This window comes from Homo sapiens, chromosome 10 (genome assembly GCF_000001405.40).
Source record: "Homo sapiens chromosome 10, GRCh38.p14 Primary Assembly".
Taxonomy (NCBI): domain Eukaryota; kingdom Metazoa; phylum Chordata; class Mammalia; order Primates; family Hominidae; genus Homo; species Homo sapiens.
Window position 1 is genome coordinate 128,268,795 of NC_000010.11, and position 25,547 is coordinate 128,294,341.

Here is a 25,547-nt window from a genome sequence, read left to right on the forward strand (position 1 = left end):
TTAGCCACCTGTCTGCCTGTGAACCTCTGAGGGAGGGGACCCGCCAGGGCCAGAGCCAGGTGCGCTGGAAAGCAGTGGGGTCAGGTCAGCCCCTTGTGACAAATCATCCATCTTGTGACTCAAGATTCAAAGTGAAGGGATTTCTGATGACCTGGAGGACCTGGGGGGATTAGGAACCCAGGAACCCAGGCCATGGAGGCAAGGGGGATGGGTCAGAGTGCCCGGTGTCCACTGCTCAGCAGGACCTCAGTTCAGCTTCTGTTAAAGAAGGTGGAGGACCAACTCATGTTTCAAATCGTGGGTCCCACAATGAAAGTGAACAGGTAAGAAAATGTGAGAATTCATAGCATGTAGTAAGAATAAGAGCTGTGTCTTGAAACTTTATTTCGGCATATTACACACATATACACACACATGACTGTGTACATATTTGTACATACATGTATATATCAGGCCACAAAGGTGGGCAGTTTGAAGAGCTCCCCGCCGCCCAGTGCTCTCTAAGACAGTAGCGGACACTGGACCCAGCTGTGGCTGTAGAGCTCCATGGATCTGGGTTCTAATATGGGCCCACTACCTGCTTGCTGCTTGACCTTGCATATGTTGCTTAACCTCTCTGAGCTTACCAGTCAATAGGATGATAAATGCCCTCCAAGATGCAGCTGGGCAGGTGCATGGTGCTTTGCACAGGGCAAGCGCTGGCAATGCACCTTCCTCCCCTTTCCATCTCTGATATTTACTGGAATGTTACCAGCCTGGCCTCAGAAATCATTCTGCCCTCGAGTTCCTCTGGTATCCAGGGCCTCCTCCCAAGGCACAATAGGGACCCACATCTTTTAGAGACCCATGTGGAGTGAATTAGTGGAAACTGAGGCCCACTGTAAGCCAACTTGTGTGGCTCTTGCTATGTAAGCAAGTGCTGTGGCTAAAGCTCTTGTCGGAGCCCGACCACCCTGTCAGTTTCTGAGGGGAACCCTGACTCACTTGGTGTTTTTTTTTTTTTCAGACAGAGTCTTGCTCTGTCGCCCAGGCTGGAGTGCAGTGGCACAATCTCAGCTCACTGCAAGCTCCGCCTCCTGGGTTCACGCCATTCTCCTGCCTCAGCCTCCCAAGTAGCTGGGACCACAGGTGCCTGCCACCATGCCCGGCGAATTTTTTTGTATTTTTAGTAGAGACGGGGTTTCACCGTGTTAGCCAGGATGGTCTTAATCTCCTGACCTCGTGATCCGCCCGCCTCGGCCTCCCAAAGTGCTGGGATTACAGGTGTGAGCCACCGCGCCCGGCCACTTGGTGCTCTTAAAATCACCTCTGCTACTGCTAGGGCAGACTCCATGGTGGGTGGGTTCTGTTCGATAGAAGGATCCAGGAGGACAGGGTGTAAGGGGTGAGGATAGAGCAGCAAGGTCATGGCAGAACCAGGCAGGTCCAGTCTGCTCTCCTTCCTGCTCTGAATGTTAACTGCACCCCTACTCTGAAAGGTGAAATTGACTCCTTCTGTCATCACTCATTGATCGTCTCTTGCAAGGGTCTGTATTACTGGTTTGGATAGGGGTGTAGATGTTGTCTTCTTTTTCATAACCTGGTGTCTCCAAATGAGGCCTGAAGAAGGCATAGCCGTGGAAAGGAGGTGGCACTGCCTTCCTGGTAACCTGCCTCTCAGGCTCAAACACAATCTGGATGCTGAGTCTTGAGGTTTGACCTCCTGCATCCCTGAACTCTGGTCAGCCTCCTGAGGTTCCAAGCCCATGTTCCCAGTCTGTGTTACCACGATGAAGAGGTAAAGAGAGCCCAGCTCTGGTCTTGCTGCCTGGAACATCTTGGGCACATCTGTGCCCTGAGTCTCAGTTTTCTCATCTGAAAAGCAACAGTTGAATTTACAAAAGCTTCGTTTTGATGATTAGGATTCTGGCTTAGACTCCATTAGCCCCTTTTCCAATCCAATAGAAAATTTTTAACCTTCAAGAATGTCATGCAATTATCTCTCCAGAGTTTCTCTATTAGTTTTATAATCAACTTCACTTGACCAACTAGAAATGATATTCAGCCCAAATACACTGTTGTCAAACTGCATAATTTTACCTTCTGGTTTGACTACTTTGTTCTATGTTATTACAGATAACATTCAACTAGCTTTGCCTTAATTGTGTTTGCAGAGCATTACTGCTCCAAGGTATTAGAAGGTGTCTGCGGTCAAGTGGGAGTTTTCCATAACGCAGTATATTTTGGGAAGCACAAGTCAAATGCATTTGAATTGATTTCATGAGTGCAGACCTTCTCAGAGCCTTATTTCTACAAAGTGTACAGGGTGGGAAGTTCAGAGGCCTGGACTCTTCCAGCTGTGCCTCTGCCCTGCTAAAGGGTTATATGTCCACAGTCACTGCTACCACAAGAGGTCGAAGTACATCATTGCTGAGGTCCTTTTCAAACTTTGCTGTTTCATGATTTTTGGTTCTGATTTCCACTTCTTCCTAACCAATAATCGAGAGGAATTTCTTGGCCTTTTACAATGTGTAGGATACTGATCTATGTGCTATGGGAATACAAAGTGTATCGGACATGGCCCCTGCCCTCAGGGAGGTTACACTGTCCTCCAGAATGCAGGACATACTAAGGGTTACATAGTGATTCTAGTCCATGGAATCTCCCACATGATGGGTTAGGAGTCCAAGGGAGAAGGACGGTATCTGGGGTGGTCAGGGGTGGTTAATGGATGAAGTTGGGTCTTAAGTGTATATTGTAAGAAGGATTTGTAGGGATTTTTGAGGTGTGAGTTCGGGGCAGAGAAGGGAAAAGCATTTTGGAACAGGCAACAGCATTTGCAAATGCCTAAGGTCAGCGAATAGGGGATTAGAGATCTGTGAGTGGTTATGTCCGGTGGGTCTGCAAGGGTGTCTGGGTGGTCTGGAAGGAAGGAAGCTGAGGGCTGTATAGGTCCATTGTGAAGGATCTTATATGTCAGGGTGGGGAATTTGTATCTGAAACTGTTGATAACATAAGTTTAATCCCAGAGGAGTTACATTAATTTCTCTCCTCTTTTCCTCAGCTTTACTAAAAAAAAGTCACTTGGAATTATGCGGTTGGGAGTTACATGTGTATCTGGGGGACTCACTTCTTTGAGAGAATCACCTATAAACCTCTCAATGGCATATAAGCAACACAGAGTCTTTCACCTCTCCTCACTGCCCCTGGCAAGCCCCATCTGCCCAGAGGAGCACTTGTTCACAGAGCAGAGCTACCTCAGAATCTCCAGCAACTCCTCACAAAGTTAAACATAGGATGACCATATGACCTAGCAATTCCACTGCTAGGTATATGCCCTCAAATAATTAAAAATAAAACAGATATTTGTACACAAATGTCCACAGGAGAACTATTCACAATAGCCAAAAGGTGGAAACAACCCAAATGTTTATCAACAGATAAATGGATAACAAAAAACAGTATATTCATACAATGGAATATTATTCGGCTGTAAAAAGGAATAAAGCACTCGTACGTGCTGCAATATGGATGAACCTCTGAAACATTGTGCTAAGTGAAAGAAGTCAGACACAAAAGGCTGCAAATTGTATGACTCCATTTATATGAAACATCCAAAATAGGCAAATCCATAGAGACCGAGAGCGGATGAATAGTTGTCAAGGGTTGTAGGGACGGGAAAGGGTCAGCTTCCTGCGCCCAGCGTTTTACTCAGGGGTGATGACAATGTTTGGAGTGACAGTTGCACAACATTGAGAATGTAAGCAGTGCCACTGAGCCGCACACTTTAACATGGTTAATATTATGTTACATGGATTCCACGTCCATGAGAAAATAATCCCAATGACACTGTGCTCCCTGGGGGCTCTGCCCTTCAGCTGGCAGAGGGCAGCGTGGCCCCCGGGCCTGGGAAGGGAGGGAAGGGAACCTGTTCATGGGTCCCCGAGAGCCCTCAGGGACCACGCTGCAGGCCTCCTGGGTGGGATCATTCTTTACGTTGTCCAGTGGTTATTTCCAAGTGGACCTATTCGACTCTCTAAATCACTTTCTTGAGTGCAAGAGAGTAAAGGGCAAAAGTTACTCCTTTCCTATTCTTTAAATTGCCAGGATCAATAGGCACCATTGATTTGAATTGAGAAATAGTTTCCAGGTAACATTTAGGAAGAATCATTGAGATCAGCACATGGAGAGTGACCGTCTGCTGCCCTCTGAGGGGACAAGCCTTTGGGGTTCTAAACTTCTAACCACCTCTGCTGGCTGTGTGGCCAGAGTCAGTGAAGCTGAGGTATCATTTGGAGAGATCATGGCAGCTTCTGCCCGTGAAAGGTAACAATTGGCCAGTCTGGTCCTCAAGCAAGCAGATGAGCCTTCATACCCTAAACTATACTGAGGGGCAGGAGCTCCAGGAGAGTCTGGATGCAGCCTCCATCCCTGATGGTCTTGCGCAGGGGAGGTCTTGTCTCTGAACAGTGGTCAGCTCCCGGGAGTGCTGGGGCTACCCCGGGTCTCCTGCTTGTGTTTGTCTGTCCATCAGAAGCTCAGCTGCAAGGTAGAGCCGAGGCCCCGTGGAGCTCTGGGCTAAGGCCCCTTTCTGAGTGATCTTCCTGCCACCACTCCTGGGGACACTTGCCTTGGAAGGAACCTGACCCTCTCCTTCAAGTCTTTGTCCCTGGCATTAGGCTGAGCGATAAGAGGCAGGGGCGACGCCATGCTCAGGGCAGTTCACGTGGATGACTCCCTGGCCTGTGTCTTTCTGCTACCATTGGGAAGAACAGCTGGTCTCAGAAGAGAAGCCGGTTTCCAGCCCAACACTTGAGGAAGGATATTAAAAGGAGAAAAAAAAATTATGTTGACTCCAAATGTCCTATTTTAGTTAGACAGCACACGAATAGGATTGGGGGACAGCATTGATCTTTTACTTATAATGCAGAACATTCAATGGATGGCAAAAATGCTTTTAAAAGGGGCCCATGGAACACTTTGAAAATATTAATTAGTGTGTTGAAGCATTCTGCATAGCATATCATAGTGAAACTGCTCCAGGGGGTTGCTCAGAATGAATTATTAATAAGAATCCCTCTCTCCCCCATGCTTCACACCCTGATTTTATGGGAGTTGGCGTGGATTGGGGTGTCTGTTAGATTCATTTGCTGCTCATTTCACACAAGTGGGGAGAGGTCTGTGTCATTGGGGTCACCCATGTTTGGGGCTCTTATGTCTGGAAAAGAAGACATACCCCAAAACACCAAAAACACACCCCGGAGGGGCAAAGGCAAGAAGAAGCCAGTGCTATCAGTGGCTGTGCTGGGCTAGGTACTTTATATACCAATTGGAAAACAAATGTCATGGCTGTGGGTGTGAGTGTTCCATTTCCTAAAGATTCAAGTCCGAAGGAGGGTGGCAGAGTCCAGGAAGCAGCAGCTCTTCAGACGAATCAGAAAAAATTCAGAGGCTTCTTTCCTCTGATCCCCACTTTGCCTGTACAACCCGTGAAAGAGGTCACCATTCCCTTCCCAGTGGATCTCAACTGTGTTCACTCAGCAACAGCAAGAGTTCACCAAAGCTTACCAAAATATCACACCCCCTAAACAAGTAAGCAGTCAGACTCTAAGCTGAGAGTGAAACCTGCTTTTTCCTGTTTTACTAAACATAGATTTGTAGAAATAGAAACATATTAGTAAAGGCATTTTGCTTTAAAATTCTAAACTAATCCAATCAAGGATCATAGAAATAATTATAGTTGTGCAAAATTGAACAATGAGGATTGGGGGGTTAATCTAGTTATTATGGGCATTCCTTGCATTGGAAATAAGCCAAAGCGTGCATTCACAGGGATGCCTTAGACAGCTCCTAGTTTTTCTGCTTTTGTTCCTTCCCCATCCCCCATTTGTTTCACACTTAGAATTTATGGACATCATATTTTTTTCTCTTTAAAAGTAATGTGCAGATAGGTTGCCGAGAAAAAAGCAAAAAAAAAAAAAACTATTTCTGAAATGATTGAGATTTTCAACATTATGGAAATGTAGGTAATCAGATGAAATAGTAAATTTTCCACTTTAGTTTTATTGGAGTCTACTGTTTTCAGGATGTAAAAGAAATGGCCTTTCCAGTTTAAAAATGAATTAGTAGACTGGACTTCTTTGTGTAATAGGTTTTACTAGGATAACTCTGGTCTACTGGGCCATGTATTTCCCCCCAAAAGTTTGAGGTGTCATGTTGGACTCCTTTGTTTTCCCTTCCAGGGAAAACCACAAGCCATAAGCTTAACTGGAATTTTCATGTTGACAACTTGTGCAATTATGAGAGGAGCGGGTCATTAGCAGTTGACTGTGCTCTGGCAGGGAGGGAAGCCAAGAGCTGTGCAAGTCTTCTGAATCAGCCGCAACAGCGCCTCTGCTTTTTATGAAGTTAAGAGCATGACAGATCTTCCTGAGGAAACCATCCTCGCACGCTTGCGGACGTTATTGGCGCCACGTCCTCTCCAGTGGGTTCTGTAGCCAACTGATTAATATTTTCAGCATGTAGACGACCTCCAGTCCTTCTGAGGCAAATTTCTCTCTCTCCATCCTCCTTTCCCCATGTCTTTCCTCTTGGAAAAAAAAACACAAAACAAAAACCACAAGGCTTCCCCGCAAAAGGTCTCTATAAAATTTTATATCCCTGGTGCATTATTATTATTTTATTCACTTCATTACATCAGAATGAAGCCCAGTTTTCAAAGGAAAAAAAATGAGCTCTGCAAATGGTTGAAACAATATCTGACCTCCGCCCGGTGGCGTCTGATAAGGTTTCTGCTTTTTGGAGAGAGTGACATGGTCGGCCAGTGGGCAGAACCCGCTGTCGAGCTCTGAGCGAGAAAGGGAAAGGAAATGAACCTGCCATCGGCCGCCACGGCACCCACTCCACACATGGACAAAGGAGTCTGCAGTGAGCAGTGGTGTGTGTCCTGGAAGGGGCCTGCTAGAAATTTGAAGTTTTATTTTTATTTATTGTTTGGTGATGATTTAAACACCCCATGGTGCCGAGTCATAAACAGAAAGAAAGCCCACATTTGGCTTTTGTTATCAGCTAGGAGAATTAAGGGTATTTTTTTCCTTGACTTTTTTTTTTTTTTGAACAGCCCCAGTGCCTTGGCCGGCTTCCAGTTCAGGTAATTACATTCTGTCTTCCTAAATTCCCTGGTAGCTCCAATTGGGCTAGCTGCTCTTCACTCCCTCCTGGAAGCTGATGAGCGGGTGCCTGGCGTCGAATGGGGTGGCATTCCAATAGTGGGTCCCAAGGTGTTCTGCTGGAAATGCACTTCGAGCAGATTCTGCATGCAGGGCTTGTGTGCAAATGGAAGTAGGATTATTTATTACGCTTTTCCATCAGCAGCTGCCAACCCGAAACTATCTCTGAATGACATTTTAAATATGAAGGCCAGGGTCATTAGGATGATTACATACAAAGGTCCATTTTGTTCACCTTTAAAATTATTGGGGAACTGAAATCGGAGTTGGGGAGCGAGAGGAAGGGTAACACATCCCATAACAGGGATGCTTCATTTGCCACAAAATGGCACTTTTTTTTCCTGTGTACTTTTTTGCTATGTCTTGATTATAATTGAGGATTTTGGGGCTTTTTGTTTTTGCTTTTCAAAGATGAATGGGAATAGGAGCATTTTCCATTTTTAAAAATAAAATTACATCCCTTTTTTAAAAAGTCTGAGATTCAATTCATTTAAAGGTAATCCTTCCAATACTTATTGAGCACCTACCATGTACCAAACGTTGCTGAAGGTTTATTTTGGCCACATAAGCACTTATTGATTTTATCTTTTTCATTTATATTTATTTTAATTATGGATATCAATATGTTTTTCAAAAAACAATGGAAATAATTTCCATAAAGTAGCATCTGTATTGGTAATCAAAGTATGAAATAACATGCTCCTGTTTACACAGTATGTAATAATGCCTTATGTAGACAGCTGATTTTTACTGAAAAATGCTTCCCAAGATTGAAATCAATATATGCCACAAAACAGAATTTAGGATGTATTCTGGAAGACGAAAAAGAAGATCTGATGTATAAAAATCACTTTCATTTTACACATGAACATAAGTAAAGTGATCCTTTTTCTAGTTACCATTAGAGATTGAGGAAACTGCTCCTATTGTCAGTTCTGTTTGTTTCATAATTTCTACCAAACAAGCCTATGAAGGTTTAGTAGGCTGTGCTTCTGAAAGAGATCAGTTTTGATACCCTGGGCATCTGCCTGACTTATAGTCCTATCTGAGTTCTTTCCACATACCTGACAGCAGACAGATCTTCCCGGCACCTTTAATTTTTATTTTTTATTAGCTTTCATTTTTCCAGCCCTGTATTATTCCACCACTAGGTGCCATAAATTGATGGCACTATCCATTTATGTGGCATGACCAAAGCCAAGCCGATGAAAACTACGATCATGCTTGACGTCCAGTCCTATCATCCTGTGTTAGATAATAATTTCTTTTTGCCCTTTTACTCCCCTATAGAGCCATTCTTTATAAAGCATTGAGTCAAGGCAGATATTAAACAACTCAATTCAGTACTCTCGTTGGGGCTTGTAACTCTAGCGAATTGCATTTTTTCCTAATTACAGGAAAAATAGCAAATTGGCAAACATCAGGAAGTGGGTACACCTCCTCTGATTTACAAGGAAGAGTGTAAGGTGACTTTATAGCTCAGGAATTCAGTGAAATAAATTTATGGTTAGAAAAATTCATGTTCTTTATGTGATGAAGGTCCTTTAACTTTTAACACGCTTCTCCAGTTAAGCTGAGCAGGACTCACACGGAAATGGCTGTCTACAGCTGCCGCAAATTGATTTATCCCCAGATAATTGTCAGAGCTGCAGACCAAATTGTTAGAAAGAAACAGTTCTTTAATTTCAGTGTTTGCGGCTGTCTATATATTGTTTATGCAGATTCCTGTTGTGTATGAGCAGAGATTTGTGGTGGCCTAACTATTCCGGGCAGTCAGGGTAATTCTCTCCAGCCCAGAGGGCCCACACTGTTGATGGCAGCCCGCTGTCACCCCACTGGGGAGTGGTCTCTGAACACCTTTCCCGCAGGATTTTGCCACTTACTTCAACTCCTTCCTTTGTGAGTTTCTTCATTTGTGAAATCCTTCAGAGTCAAGTGATCTGTGTGAGAAACTGTGGAGTCAATGTCTACAGCAATACTAATTTGTGTTTGGAAAATTATATCTTGAGAATCTGCTGAAATTGTTTGCATCGTGAGAGGGAAGGATTCGCTCCATTTGAGTCATATCCCTGGGATGGCAGAGGCATTGCCCCAACCTTGATATTGTCATTGCCTCTCTGGGGCTTCCTAGCACAACTCTGCAGCTCTGGAAGCTGAGTGACACACCAGTTAATGTGGAGATGTGTATCTTTATTCAATAAATATTTCCTGAACCTACTATGTGCAAAGCCAGGAAAATAAAGCAGACAAGTCCTCTGCCCCCTCAGAATTTATAATAGATTGAGAAAGATAGAATATAAAATAAATGAATGATTGCATAATTAATGACCAGTTGTGATAGGCACACCAAAGGAAAAAATACAAGGAGTTTTAAGAGGGAAAACAGTGTTGCCTGCTGCAGGGGGCTCAGAAAGTGATGGCATTTGGCACCTAGCACTCTCTGCTAAGTTCTCTCGGCCATCACCTTTTTCTTTCAGCACAAAGAGTCTTGTGCAGACACTCCTGAGAAGGGGACGGGTCACAGGCTTGTCAGCATGAGGCTCAGCGGGGCTTAGCCCACTCTGGAGCCTGTTCCCCTTCCCAGGCTACCACGTGTCAGCGCTGGTCATCTGGGCTCTCTCCTGCCCCTGGCAAGGACTGGTCATCTGCAGCTGTGCACTCTTTGGGGGGCACCAGACCTCATGTGGAACTGCCCCTGCCCCCAAGACCCTCCCACCACGATGCTGCTGCTCATCCCGGCTGGTTTCCACCCTTGGGGGTGGGGCGAGACTTGCCTCTTTCCTCGGTAACTAGTTGCCCAAGCTTGGACCCTCTTCTCCGGCTCCTGGTCCAGATGAAGTAACGAACTCCTCTGGTCTCCTGCATGTAAGATTTGATTGTCCACTTTTTTAGAGTTTTAAGCCTAGATGTTTGTGTCTGATCTTTTTCTGGGTAGTTGGGGCCAGAGGCAGGGAAGTCTAAAATGTTTTCATTTCTTAATATAGCTTTCTCCTAGAGAAAATACTCACAAATATAATCAATACCAAAATAAAAATATATTAACAAAAAATGAGTTTCTAATAAAAAGGTAAAAAAAGCAAAAAATTACTCTAAAATAACTGAATTTTATGAATATTTTTCTTCTAATAAAGCTACTCGGGAGGCTCAGGCAGGAGAATGGCGTGAATCCGGGAGGCAGAGCTTACAGTGAGCTGAGACGGTGCCACTGCACTCCAGCCTGGGAGACGGAGCGAGACTCCGTCTCAAAAAAATAAAATAAAATAAAATAAAGATTTAAAAATTTAAGATAAAAACTCAGATACATAGACAAATAAGAATTGCATATAACTGAGGAACAAGGAGGCTCTGTCATAAGGGACTAATTTAGTTTTTCTTTCAGTTCAGCAGTGTTTATTGAGCATCTACTATGAGAAAAGCACTGTTACCTTTCTCTGTCCCTCCCTTTCCTCTTCTCTCCTTGAAGACTGAATAGGACTTTACTGGAAGGCAAGCTGGGGAGAAAAGCACTCCAGCTAAGGAGTCGCTGTGCCAAATGCTGAGGGCCAGGGTCTGGGATAACTGGAGAACAGTGAGCCGTTTGCCAGGTGGTTCCCTGGGCAGCCTTAGAGGCGAATGTTTCCGAAGCCTTTCTAGAACCTTCGACACTCACCTGTCCCTTGTATCATTGCCCCTGGGCTTGTCTGCTGTAGGCTGGGTGCAGGACAATTCTGTAAAGAAATGCCAGTGCATGTCGGCGTCTTCAGGGTGGTGACCACACAGTGACTGTGACCTTAGATGAAGGAGGATGCCTCGGAGCAAGTGACCGTGGTGGCACCTGCCCACCCACCTTGTGTGGGGCTGCCTTTCTGCTGGACACACTTGATCCATGCTGTACCGGGAAGGCAGCCATTGTGGAGACTCAGTCACTCACTCAGCAAAGGTTTGTGGGACCGCGTATGACCATGGAAGACGCATCACACCATCCTGTCGTCCTGAGCAAATTCGTGCCTAACAGAGAAAACACTGAAACCTTCGCGAATGTTTGCTTGGCTTTTTATTATTTAGTGTATTTATATTGGACTTTTCCAGGAGATCTGTGGTTGAAATTGCTTGGCACCCAATAAAAAATTATTTTCACCTTAGTTCACATTTAAAAAATCATTTTCACCTTAGTTGTTCACTTTTATGCCAAAGCTCATGTGAATTGCTATTTCTGTGATCAATTGAAATATATTTCATTTTTCTTTCCTACCTAATGTCTAGAGGTTCATCGTTTGATGCAAACCTAATATTATTGATACCTTTCAATGGTGTCTAAAGGCTTTCCTTGTTGGATGCATTCACATATTTATACAGGAATTCTTTTAAAGCTATTTTAGATTTTTTTATTTTAAAGTTTTTATGGATTTGGGGGATATAAGTGCAGTTGTGTTACATGGATATACTGCATAGTGGGGGAGCCTGGGCTTTTAGTGTGTCTGTCACTCAAATAGTGCACATCCTGCCCACTAGGGGATTTCTCATCCCTCGCCCCTCCCACCTTCTCACTTCTCTGAGTCTCCAGTGTCTATTCCATCCTCTCTGCCCACATGTACACATTATTTAGCTCCCACTTATAAGTGAGAACATGAGGTATTTGACATTTCGTTTCTGAGTTATTTCACTAAGATAATGGCCTCCAGTTCCATCCATGTTGCTGGGAAAGACATGATTTCATTCCTTTTTATGGCTGAGTAGTATTTATCATATTTTCTTTATCCAATTATCCATTGATGGATACTTAGGTTAATTCCATAGCTTTGCTCTTATGAAGCATGTATTCAGCAAGTTTTAATTGAGAACTGGGGTGCTAAGTAATCAGAGCACCTGGTCTCCGCCCACAGGAGCTGACAGTCCAGTGAGGGTGCCTTAGAAAATCCCACAGATAATTGCAATAGGAGACTGGCTCTAAGAGCCAACTAGCGGATGAGCAGAGTTCGGCTCGGGAGGTGAGTTCCTGCTGGGGGCACTTGGCTAGCCCTTCAGAGGAAGTGGTACTTGCAGGTTGTGTAGGACAGCAAGGGGCAGAGAGAGGAGGGCAGATGGGCTTGTGGGCAGAGGAAATGGGGCAGGGCAGGGCAAGGCGCCGAGCTGCCTGAACCTGGTAGGTCTAGGCCAGGCAGGGCCGGGAGGCTCTGCTGCAGGCCAGGCACAAAAGATGGCTTTGGGCCAGACTGGGGACTGCCCCACGCTCACACCAGGGCCATGGCTTTATTTATTTAACCCTAACTTTATGAATCCCTGGGACCTGAGAAAAAGATAGGAAGTAAAAAACAGGGAGTCATTAGGGCTCTGAGAAGAGGATTCCAGGAAAGAACTTCGATCCAGGGACACAGCTGACATTCAAAAGGGAGGGACAAAAATGGGCCAAGGAGACTTTCTGTCCCCATATGTGTGTGTGCACACATACGTGCGCACACTGACACACACACAACATACTGTCACATACACACGCTCACACATGTGCACACACATGCACACACACATGCAGGCAAACATGCACACACACAGACACACACTCTCACACAGGCACACATGTGCACACACATGCACATGTACACTCATGCATGCATGCACACACATTCTCTCATACAGAAACATGCACACTTTTACACACACATGCACACACTCGTACGCACAAACACACTTACATCTGGTCAGAGAAGGGAAAGGCCCTGCGCTTGGGTTCCCAGTTTATTCACTGCACTGCTGAGCACTGCCTGGTGCCCACGCTACAGGGGAGCAGTTGGGGCCAGGGGACAGCCCTACCCTGGGATGGTTACAGACAGCGCATACTGGCAGCCGTGGTTGCTGAGACAGGAGGTCCACCGCTGCACCCTGGGAACCCGCCGGCTAGTGATGGGAGAGGGCAATTACCCCAGGGCGGTGGCAGAGCCTCCTTTAGGTTTGCACTTCCCCAGTTTCTAATCTGCTTTGTGCGGCTGCACTGCCTCTTGCTTGCTGGTGCCTCTTCCAGCAGTTACATGTAAGCCTTGAGGCTTTATGCACCCCGATTTATCTTACACAGTCATGCATTGCTTAACAACAGGGATACATTCTGAGAAACGCGCTGTTAGGCTACAGAGTCGCTGTGTGAACATCACAGAGTGTACTTACATAAGCCTCGATGGCACAGCCTACTGCACACCTAGGCTAAACGCATGGCCTGCTGCTCCTGGGCCACACGCCGGCACTATATGCGATTGTACTGAATACTGCAGGCCGTTGTGACACAATGGTATTCATTTAAACATAGCTAAATGTAGAAAAGGTAGAGTAAAAATATCATACACAGATAAAATGGTGCACCTGTGTAGGGCACTTACCATGAATGGGGCTTGCAGTATTGGAGACTGGAAGTTGCTCTGGGTGAGTCAGTGAGTGAGTGGTGAGCGAATGTGCAGGCCTAGGACATGACTATACGCTACTGTAGACTTTACACTCTACACTCAGCCTACACTAAATGTATAAGAATATTTTTCTTTCTTCAATAAGAAATTAAGCTTAGTGTAAATTTTTACTGTAGTTTCTATACATTTTTTACTTTATACATTTTTAAATTTTTATTAGCTTTTGGACTCTTGTAATACAGCTTAAAACACAAACACATTGTATAGCTGTACAAAAACATTTTCTTTATCTCCTTATTCTGTAAGATTTTTCTATTTTTAAATTAAACATTTTTGTAACTTTAAAACTGTTTTGTTAAAAACAAAGACACAAAGACATCCATTAGCCTAGGCCAACACCGGGTCAGGAGCCCCATAGCCCTGTCTCCCACCTCCACATCTTGTCCCATTGGAAGGTCTTCAGGGGCAATAACACGCATGGAGATGCCATCTTCCAGGACAGCAGTGCCTTCTTCTGGATGCCTCCTAATGACTTGCCTGAGGCTGTTTCACAGTTAACTTAAAAAAAAAAAAAGGCCAGTCATGGTGGCTCACTCCTGTAATCCCAGCACTTTGGGAGGCCGAGGCAGGCAGATCACCTGAGATTAGGAGTTCGAGACCAGCCTGGTCCAACATGGTGAAACCCCATCTCTACTAAAAACACAAAAATTAGCCAGGCATGGTGGTGGGCACCTATAATCCCAGCTACTCGGGAGGCTGAGGCAGGAAAATCGCTTGAACCTGGGAGGCCGAGGTTGCAGTGAGCTAAGATTGTGCCACTGCACTCCAGCCTGGGCCACAGAGGGAGACTCGGTCCCCCCCCCCCAAAAAAAAAGTAGGAGTACACTTTAAAATAACAATAAAAAGTATAGCATCGTAAGTCATTTATTATTCTTATCATGTATTATGTCCTGTACATAACTGCGTGTGCTAGACTGTGCTATGACTGCTAGTGCAGTTGCCCCAGCATCGCTGCAAACACATGAATAACGTGTTAGTGTGTATTGGTGCGACAGTTACTGTGTTACCAGGTGATAGGAATTTTGCAGCTGCATTATAATCTTATGGGACCATCATGGTGTACGGGGTCCATCACTGACCAAAACATTGCTATGTGGTGCATGGTACATGACTGTATTTGAGGTTCTGGGTCATACCTGGGTCACACAGAAGGCTGAGTTGATCCTGACCCATTCCACCACAGTCATGAGATTGCAGAGAAGCAGCTGAGACACTCTCCCTGTAACATGACAGCAGCAGCACTGCCACCAGAAGCAATAGGCACAGTGTGTTTTAGGAGAGCAAGCTCTGTGTCATGGGGTCCCCCATTCTGCAGGCATTCTCTGGGTCTCTTTGTCTTTCTCTTTCATACAACCAGAGCTGATGACCATGATGAAGGTCTCTGCACCTACCCTAAGCCAGGCTCCAGTTTGAATAATTTCCAATCTCAAAGTGGTTTCAATCAATCAACAAGCAGATTCATAAGACTTCACACTTGTATTCGGCACCTCCTGGCTCTACACGCCATGAGTGCTCCTGACTTACAGGCTGGGCCTCCTCCCATAGGAATGGCCTCAGAGGACAGAGACAAGGACACGTTAATGAATGTGCACTGAATGCTGCTCTGTGCTTGCACTGGGTACAGAAAGAGGCTGGGCATGGATGTGTGCACTACAAGTTCTGAGCCCCAGAGGAAGTTATATGACAGACTTGTGCCTGGTCAGCAATGGTGAGTAGCTGAAAGTGCTGTGTGCCAGTGCTGAGGGCACATGCGGTGGTATTGAGACTCCCAAGTGTGTGGAAGATGAGTGTTTGACCCTGGCTTTCAAGAATGGGCACGATGGGGATTGACTGAGAGAGGAGAGGAGGCCCTCCCTGGTAGGGGAGCCTGGGACAGTGGGTAGACTGGCTCTTCTCAAACAAGGATTCATCTAGGATAGACAATGAAGACAGGGTGACTGGGGCAGCCGTGTGCAGCTTAACCTTAACACCACCTCTAGCTGTGGAGTCTCTGCAGGCTTCCGAGCAGGGCAGGACACTGGGGAAAGGCAGACAGGAAGACAGAGGGGACACCCTTCCTGGGCAAAACCCCTTGGAAACAGTCATGCCTTGCTCTCTGATGTCTGCTTTTTGGGGACAGGGGCCTGCTGATAGCATGTGGTTCTTCCGCCTGTTGATCTGGGCAAGGGTGACTGTCTCATCTCAGGAGCCTGCGGGTCAGTGGGTTCCTGTTTGTGCCATTCTGGTGTGTGTTGGGGTGGTTCTGAATGGGAGCTGGCTGGGCCAGCTTGTGTGTCTCCCTGGGGTCTGTTGGCCACAGAGCAAAACAGAGCAGGTCAGGTCAATCCCCGCCCATTGAGTGTTTGCTCAATGACTGAGCCCATGGGACACCAAAGAGTCACCTAACCTGGTGAAGTATGGAGTTAGGCAGAGCTGACCCCTCTACAGTGGCGTTGCTGTGGCGAGGGTGTGCATGCTTGACAGAGGAGGGTGCAGGGTGGGCCATCTCAGGGTCCCTGCCTTGTCCTGAAGATGGAGGCAGGGCTGCAGGGCCACCCTCTCATGGGTTTGTTAAGTAGCTCTTGGCTCTTGGAGAAGACATGGCTGACATGAACAGCCCTGAGATAAAGTGAGTGGGTTTTCCCAGTGTTTCTGAAGGTCTCCTTCAAAGAAGCTCAGGGTGGTTGACTTCTGAAGAACCCATGCATCTGGCCATGGGGCCTGGCTAGGTCACCAAGGGCCTGTGTGCCAGGAAGAGGGTCCTGCAGAGGGGCTGAGTATCAGCTACTTCCAGGAGCCAGCACAGAACGTCAATGGCCAGGACATGCTTTTTCCCTTATCCTCCTGGGTACTCAGAGGAGTCCCTTGCGGGACAAAGAAGAGAATGGTGGCTGCTCAGGTCAGGTGGGGAGAGGTTGGAAGCCTGAGGGCATACTGGCCTCCTGGCCATCCTTTAGGGTTACTGGGAGGTCTATAGCTCCAGGGGTCCAGGTAGCCCGTGGAGAAGAGGAGGACAGAAGAAAATGAGGGATTCGTGGGGACCATTAGCCGGTTAGGAGGCTCAGAAAAAACAAACACGGTCAGAGTTTACCCAGGAAAAGGTGGCTTGAAAAAGAGATCATGTTAGACTGACCTTCGAGTCTGCACAAAGTAGATAATCATGTAGGAAGGCTTGCAACACCACCCTGGAAGAAGTCAAAGCAAGAAGGAGCAGCTTGGTCCGTCAGGATCCATGTCAAGAGCACACCCACTTTGCTGAATTACGTTCCTAATGTATTGTAAGATCTGCACGTGTTGGGAGAGGTTCAAGTCAATATATTCAGCCTAATGTACTGACCATGATCCTTGAGACTGTAATGTACTTGAAAACAGGGAAGGCAGCCCTTGACTGCAGGAACAGAAATAACCCGGTAAAGAGAAGTCCTGCTTATGTGGTAGTCTTCAAGTGAGTCAAGCGGTTTGGTCTTGTGAACAGATTCATTTTCCAAAGTATTCTGAATTTTCTGAATGCACTCAAGTTCACTCTTATCCCTTTTTACCAGGTAGCATGGTAACCAACGCCTGTAGCCTGGATGCCCAGAGGCCCTCGATCTGTCCTGAGGATTTTGGAACACAGGTAGCATTGTCTTTTCCAATGCAGTCAATTAGGAGAGCAGCACTCATTTCTTCTTATCATTTCTGAACTGCGAGACAAAGAACTTTAATTTTGGGGCTAGAATTTAATTTGTTTTTGAGAATACCGAATATTACCAAGCAACGCCAGCACGGATATAATAGTAGTGTGAGGTTTGCACACACGCAGCTGAAATGGTAAATTTAAAATAGGAGACACTGTGTGCACGTATAGTGTGTGCATACAGTATCAAGACATTCTTTGCTCCTGGAGTTTTCTCTGCTTTGCCAAACTTCACGCCCCTTTTGGAAAGGGGGAGCGAATTTTCCAAGTTGTGAGGATACTTTTCCTCCATCCAGCCACACCCTCTTCCGGGCCAGTCTTTGGTGAAACCTGGGCGATGTGGAGTCACTGGGGGATGTGAGTGAGGGCGTTTTTGCTCATCTTAACCCAGGTCTCTGGGAGAGCCTTTAGGATCGCTCTGGGACTTAGAGGAGGTTCCGTCCTGGGCCGGGAGCTGAGGCTCTCCGGACAAACGCTAAGCAGCTCTCACTTATCGGTGTCCAATAGGCCTTATATAAAGTGCCAAAGTGCCCCAGCAAGGCTTTACCAGCACCTGGGCCGTAGTTGTCTCCTGGCTCCTGGGGTCCGCGGAGCTCTAGATGTACCTGCAGCTCCTCCCGAGTCCTGCAAGCCACCCTTGTCCCTCTTCTCCCGCTCACCCCCCGGCCCCCCCATCTCTTTTGCTATTCCGGGGAAGGCCACGCAGGGTGCAACCCGGACGCGCCCCCGGGGGAAGCCCGCGACGCAGCAGCCACACCCCCAGCCTGCACTGGCGCCCACCCCATGACTTCGCCTTCGCGGTCGCGGGCAGGGAGCGCGCGTTTCCATCGGTTGATTAGAAGCGGGAGTCGGAGGAGCCCCCGCCCGCCGGCGGCCAGCGCACAGCCCGGCCAGGGGCGCCCTCCCTGCCGCCGCCGGCCCTTTGATCGCCCGCGGCCCGCGGCCCGCAGACCACAGCCAGCGCTGTGCTGGGCAGGTGGCGGCAGCGGGGCGCGGCGCGCTCAGGCGCACGGGTCCCCGGGCCGCGGCGCGCTCCCCGCCACGCCGCACATCAAGGCCCGGCCGGCCGGCGGGCGCCTTCATTAGCAGCCTGAAATTATAATATTATGTTAAAGAACAAAGCTGCTCCCCGGAAAAATATGTGCTGCATATCTGACAAAGATAAATTGGATTATTCAAAATATTCTTGATGAAATGTTACATTTTGCAACTAATTATCAATCTGTTTTATCTGCAGACCAGCTGGGCATTTTTGTGCATGCAAGACCTGCCTTGGCAATGATCTTAAGATGTCACTGTAGCGTTTACATCTTTTATTTCAAGATTTAAATAACTAGGAAGTAGCTAATGTAATTCACTGCTGAGAAGAAAGGCGAGCTCCTAGATTCCTTTCCAAAGCGATCTCCTCCTAATGAACTTCTCTGGACTGTGAGTAATGAGGCTTTATTCAAATAATGTTTAAGGAAGGCTCTGTCAGTGTAATTTCTAAAAAAGGGACCAATGTTTAATACATTTGAAACATCTCTATTCATACGATATTAGCTCAGGCAAGCCCACAGCAGCACTTGCCAAGGAGAATTCTGTGTTGGTCTTTCAGAGGAGAGAGCCCTCAACTTGGCCTGGGCCAAGCCCCCAGTGCCCCTGCAAAGCAGGGAGCTCGGCCCTCCTTTTTATCTGGTGTTTTCCAGAGCGAATGCGTTTAAGGTACTCTGGGTTGATATAAACCCTCAGCATTAAGGAGTTTCAGCATTCTGCTCCTCTCCCCATCAAAATCGCTCTCTGTTCTATCTTGGGGATTGTGTCAATATAGTTTTCCTGTTTTGTGAGCTCTATCTGGTTTGCAACAGCAGAAAAACGGAATGGGATGGATTCAAGGCCCTTCACATTTTCCTTGCAGGGCCGGGGTATGTGGCGGCGGCTAAAAGATGCGCTTCATCTCTATGCATGGAGCAGCCAACCCTTTGCTTCATGTGAATGTATTCTCCTTTTAGATGAAGGAGAAAACTGTGTGCCTTTGTGCACAAACACACACAGAAGTGCTTTCCAGCATGTTCTGGTCATCATTTTGTGAAGCTCAGTGACAAATGTAACAATGGCTTCCATTTGTTTAGCTCTCTTTGCTTTTTCGGTCTCAATAGACTCTCTTGATCATGCTAGAAGGAAAAGGCAAGGCTGGGCATCCTTCCCATTGTGCAGATGAGGATGGTGAGGCTCAGGGAAGGAGATGATGTGACTTGCTCAAGGGGGCCCTGCCAGCTATGGGGGAGGTAGGGCTCCAAGGCTTTCCACACCCGGTACCCTCACACGTGCTGAGTGTGTCACTGGGTAGAGGACGGAAGATGAAGTTATTACTGATGGGAGGAATCGTGGGGAACCTGTCAGAATGTGAATTTCTCTTCTCAGTTGAGAGGTCTTCAAAGTGACTACAAGGAAATTCAAGCAGATATTTTCCCACTAAAAATGACAGAACATACATTCTTCTTGCTTTCCCAATTGATATCATTGTGACTGCTTTTCCATAAAATGATCCCCAGACAGGTTCTCAGAGCTGTCACGAAGCTTTTTGAAATTTCGCATGAAGGGAGCACGTCTATGAGTGCTTTTCTCTATCTACCCATGTCATTTTTTTTTTCTTCTCCTTTTTTGGCTTTGGTTATAAAATGTCTTTTGTTCAGATTGCACAAGAAAATTACGTCTGACCTAACTCTCTGCCTGATTTGGCCCCTGAGTATTCCATTTTGGTATTCCTATATTAATGGTCAAATTATAGAGATCAAATAGAAAGCTTTTCAAGAAAGACGGACTGGACTTTGCTGAGACTGTGTTCTTTGATGAGAATCTAATCTTCTGTTCTTAAACTGCTTGTTTTCTGCCCAGATGTTTCTTGGGTGGGAGTCCATGGCTGTCAGGACCCAGAGGTGCTGTGGCCCCTTGGAGTTCAGAGGAGACCCCTTCAGTCATCGGCCTTTCCCAGTCAACCTCCTGGGGCTTCTGCCCAAAGTGACTTTTGGGCTGTCACCAGATGATGCCAAAAGCTCTGCATGGAGAGTCAAATCTCTCTGTCACAGAGACCACAAGTTACAGAGTGCCAGATATTGAGTCCTGTGGTTTTATTCTAAAATAATTTCTAATCTAAAAGTTAGTTCATTTTTTTAGAAGTCATAAAATAGTTTTTTACTGTTGTTTCATTAGAGGAGTTACAGTGCATGTGTGTAAATTATTTACACACACAACCTGACCGTATGTGGCAAAGAAGACATGAGAAGTCTCCTGAATCAGTTTGCTGTCCATGCTTGTCCACCCAGAGAATGCCCAGAGCTCTGTCCTCCATTGTTTGCTGCCTAGCGTATCTGGGTCCACAATGGTGCTTTGAAAAGTTCTAGTGATCAGGGGTGGGCAAACTTTTTTTACGAAGGGCCAGATAATAAGTTTTTTAGACTTGCAAGCTATGCTACTCTTTGCAACTACTCAAGTCTGTTGTTGGAGCCAGAAAGCAGCTATAGATGATATGCAAATCAGTGAGCTGTGTTCTGATACAACTTTATTGATAGGCATTGAAATTTGAATTTCATATAATTTTCATGTGTTGTGAAATACTATTCTTCTTTTTTATTTTTTTCCAACCGTTTACAAATGTAATAGCCATTCTTAGTTGGTGGGCTGTACAAGAACAGTCGATGCCTGAATTTGGCCCACAGGCTGCATTTGGCCTACTCTGCCTTAGGGTTTAGCATACGTCACTCCAGCTGTTCTTAACTCTCTTGCTGCTCTTGCTGGAGTGAGCGAATAATGTCTTTTTTTTATAGATTTGTATCTTCTTACATAATATTAGACTTTCTATTGGTTTTGTATAGTTGTTTAACAAATTACCACAAATGTAGTGGCTTCAAATAACATCTATTTATTATTTCACAGTTTAGTAGGTCACAAGTCCAGTGGGCTTGGCTGGATCCTCTGCTTGGGGTCTCATGAGGCCAAAATCAAGGTACTGGAATGGCTCATTTCTTATCTTGAGGCTCTGGGGAAGAATCTGCTTCTGAGCCCATCCAAGTTGTCATCAGCCATCAGCTCCCTGCAGTTGTAGCACTGAGATCTGTTTCCTTGCTGGCTCTTGGCTGGGGGCTGCTCTCAGCTGCTAGATGCCATCAACATCCCTTGCCATGTGGACCCTTGATCCTCAGGACAACAAGGGTGCCCCCATCCTACTCACAGTTGCAGCCTCTCTGACTTCCTCTTCTGCTGCCAGCCTTAGAAAGTTCTCTGCTTTTGAAAGCCTTGTCTGATTAGATCATTCTCACTCAGATAATCTGTCTGTATTAAGGTCAACTGATTAGTAACTGTAATCACATCTGCAAAATCCCCCTGCCCCATAATGTAATATAATCACCAGTTCCACATCTCACTGTATTCACAATTCCCCCCACACTCAAAGGGGAGGGGTTATATGGGGTGAGAACTGCTGGGAATAGTTTTTAAAATTCTGCCTATCTTAGGCTGCAAAGATCCCTTATCTGTTAGGATGATTTAAGTTACAAGTTCAAATTATATGGCTTCAGCTAGTGGAAAGACTCTAATAAGTTTAAGGGTTCACTGAATTCTGGATCCTAAACTAAGGAACAGAAAGGGATCTGGACTAACCTTCCTCCTCAGCTGCTGGGATAGACTGTGACTAGATAAGGAGGAAGGAGAGACTGAGGGACAGGAAGAGTGAAAGGGCAGTAGAGCTGGTGAGGAGGGGCACAGGTCTTTCCTAAGGACTGTCTGTGCTGACAAGTTTTGAGACAGACTCCACACTGCAAAGCCTTCAAAAGCACCTATTAACCCCAAAGAGTTTTTGTATAAAATCACACATATTTTCTTTCTCTCATGCACCCATACTTATCCATTCTACAAATATTTACTGAGCACCTACTCTACACCAGGGAAGTACCAGATGCTATAAAGGTGAAAGTGAAGGGGGCAGAAGCCCAGGCTGAGTTTAAAGCTTAATGGGGCAGTGTGTTGGCTTCCTGCAGCTGTTGTAACAAATTGGCACAAACGAAGATGGCTCAGAATAACAGAAATTTATTGTCTCACATTTCTGGAGGTTGAAAGTCTGAAATCAAGGTTTCTGCAGGGCTGCACTCTCTAGGAAGGCTCTAGGGGCAAATCTGTTCCATGCCTGTCTGTTTCTGTTGTGGCCGGCATTCCTTGGCTTGTGGCCGCATCACGGCAATCTCTGCCTCTATCTCTGCTTGGCATTCTCTCTGTGTTCAAATCTCTCTTTTGTTATATGGACACCAGTTATTGAATTAGGCCCCATCTTAATGCAATATGACCTCATTTTAACTTGATTACTCTGCAGAAACTCTATTTCCAAATAAGGTCATATTTATATATCCTAGGGGTTGGAACTTAGACACATCTTTTTGGGAGACACACTGGAACCCACAACAGGCAGACCATTGAGTAAATAAGCTATTTGAAGCAGTACCTATTTGTCAGCTGTTGCTTCATGGTGAGGTTCCTATACGTAGACTTGTCCCTGTTTTTTCCTTGTAGGCATTTGCTACCATCTCAAGATCTTCAGAATAATCTGTTCCCATACAATCATTGGCAAATGATATGGATATTACTGAAGATTTCATCAGGAGTTTGCTTTGCTCACCTCATGGGAAACAACTTTGTATTCCCCAAAGTCATTCCTGCCACCCCATCCTGAGGGTTCTTCTCTGCATTCTCATGCATACAGCTGCCCGTCCTCCTTCTTCAGTGGCTTTCCCTTGGGAATTTGGGTTACTCTCTTTGCAATCAGTGCGGTTCCACTCTGCCCCATCCCTGCTCCAAACCTTGCAGATGCCCCCAACACCACCCCTCTGCCTTGCCCAGGCCTCAAGGTAAGGAAGGCCCCTTTGTCACTGGAACCTGCTGTTTTAGGAGCCTCACCTGTCCGCCCCAAGCAGCTTAGCAGTATGTTTAATCTGTAGATGTAGAGGTTGTCCCTAAGAGGAATTTTGGTGAGCAAGATTGGCCCAGGTGATAAGAGAGATCCAGGGGAGTGAGGAGGGGAACAGGAAATTTGTGTGAGAAGACACTTCAGAGGGACTGCAAGACCCGGGGCAACACCTGCCCTCCTGTAGGCTCTGAAATGGTCAGGATGTGTCAGAGCACATGGGTCTCCTGGGAGGAGCAATGCTGGGCAGGTCAGAGCTGCCAGCTCACCCAGTGCTGAGAGTCAGCCACAAGCAAGGGATGGGCCATCTAAGCATCAGGGCAGTGCACCTGGATGGGCTGTGTGGCCTCAGGGGAGGGTGAGAGCATCTCAGCTCTGGCCAGGGACTTCTGCCAAGCACCACTGGGGGGAGGTGATTCCATTTTCTCCAAATCCTTCTCTATGTTTTTCATCACACTGTTGATCTTAACTTGTGCTAGATTTGCTGTCCTTTGAAATTCAACTTTTTTTTTTTTTAGCTTTGACCTAATCTTAGTCCATTTTGCCGCTATAAAAAAGTACCATAAACTGAGGGGCTTATAAACAACAGAATTTTTTTTCTCACAGTTCTGGAAGCTGGGAGTCCAACTTCAAGGCACCAGTAGCTTCAGTGCCTGCTGAGGGCCTGCTTCCTGGCTTGTCATCGTGGCCTCACATGGTGGATGGGACTAGCTAGCTCTCTGGGCCTTCTTTTATAAGGACATTAATCCCATTCACAAGGGCTCCACCCTCATGACTTAATCACTTCCCAAAAGGTCCTACTTCCTAGTATCATCACCTTTGGGGGTTTGGATTCCAACATATGAATTTTGTAGAAACACAAACATCAGTTCATAGCAGACCTGTGTAGCCAGTCTCAGAATTTGGGGTGGGGAAGATGCCCTAGCTGAAGGTTTTGGTTTCTAGGAGTTTCAGCTGAAGGGCCCTTTCTGCAGGGACCTGCTTTCTACCTGTAGCTTCTTGAGTGGAGGCTCCATGAAGGAAGGGCCAGGTTCTGGTTGTTTGAGCCTCAGGCACTGGCCAGGTACAGGGTTGAGTCCCAGTCAGTGATGTCCCATTGAATGACTCAGTGGAAATCGTGCATGTCCTTTGGGCTGTTAGGAATAGGGGCCGTCCTGAGGCACACAGAGCAGGTCTCAGCTCCTGCTCTTCTCTTTGGCTTTGCCCAGGTGAGCAGTGCTCAGAGCTGCCTGTCAACAAGGGGCATGCTCTCTGCAGAGGGGAAATTTTCCTCTTCAGATGGTGAATAGTCATAGTTCTGCTAGGGGCTTGGTTTCTGGTTGGCTGGGAAATGGGAGACTGGACAAAACACCTGGAATTGGAAGTTTCCCTTGGACTTGAGTGGTGCTCAGCCATACACTTGGAACAGCTGGTGAGCAGGCACACATTACTTCTGCATTCAGTCTTTTTAAGGATAGTAGGAAATAGGTATAGAGTTTCCTTTCCATATTACAGATCAGAAATGGAGGCTCAGAGATGACAAATGATTTTTCCAAGATTATCTCCCTAGAAAGTAGAGATGGGTGTGTAATGATTTGAGGTCTGGGATTGGAGCTCAGACAAGCCTGGGGGACTCACACCAGCCCACCTGCCACCTGGGTGGGTCTCTGCTTCTTCCTCTTCGGAGCAGAGATAATGGTCTTTCCTGATTGGGTTGTTGAGAGTTGTTGATGAGAGTGGATATCATTCACCCATCGTTCCCCAGGTGTGACTGCAGGGACTGAGTATAGAAGTGGCCACGATAAACTCAACCTCTGGATCAGAGTGCTGTGTCCACTTGGTGAAAACTGTTACCACCGTGAGACTTAAATTCAGGTCTTCGGGCTCCAAATGGCCAGTGACCTTCCTCCCCACTTCCGCCTCCCTGTGAGGAGTGTTCGTGTTGTTTCCTGAACTTCCTCTAAATTAAACCCTGTGATATATCAGATGCTGGAAACATACAGAGGACAAACAGGCCCAGGGGGAAAGCTGGAAGAACCCTTAGGGTGGGCTTCGAAGGGGGCTCAGCTGGGATTCGCCTTTCCTCCTCCTCCTCTCCCAACGTTGTGTCCTCCACACCATCACAACAACCACCAGTGCTTTCCATGTCCCCTTATTTTATTTAATGCTCATAATAGCCCGACTTCCTCCTCCTTCACTCCCAACGTGTGTCCTCCACACCATCACAGCAACCACCAGTGCTTTCCACATCCTGTTATTTTATTTAATGCTCATAATAGCCCAGCTAGGTAAGCATGATGATTATTATTAATGAATTTACATTTTTCAGATGGGGAAGTCGAAGC

The 25,547-nt window shown here is 46.3% G+C and overlaps 1 long non-coding RNA gene across 1 annotated transcript in view; it reads left to right on the forward strand.

The window, feature by feature from the left end:
- The first annotated feature begins 17,155 nt into the window (after positions 1 to 17,155).
- The window catches only part of LINC01163 (long intergenic non-protein coding RNA 1163), a 31,777-nt gene continuing 23,385 nt past the window's right edge, over positions 17,156 to 25,547 (forward strand). Inside the window, exons 1-2 of the long non-coding RNA NR_120619.1 lie at positions 17,156 to 17,231; positions 18,529 to 18,719. This is a non-coding gene — a long non-coding RNA (long intergenic non-protein coding RNA 1163). The remainder of the gene's footprint in view (positions 17,232 to 18,528; positions 18,720 to 25,547) is intronic.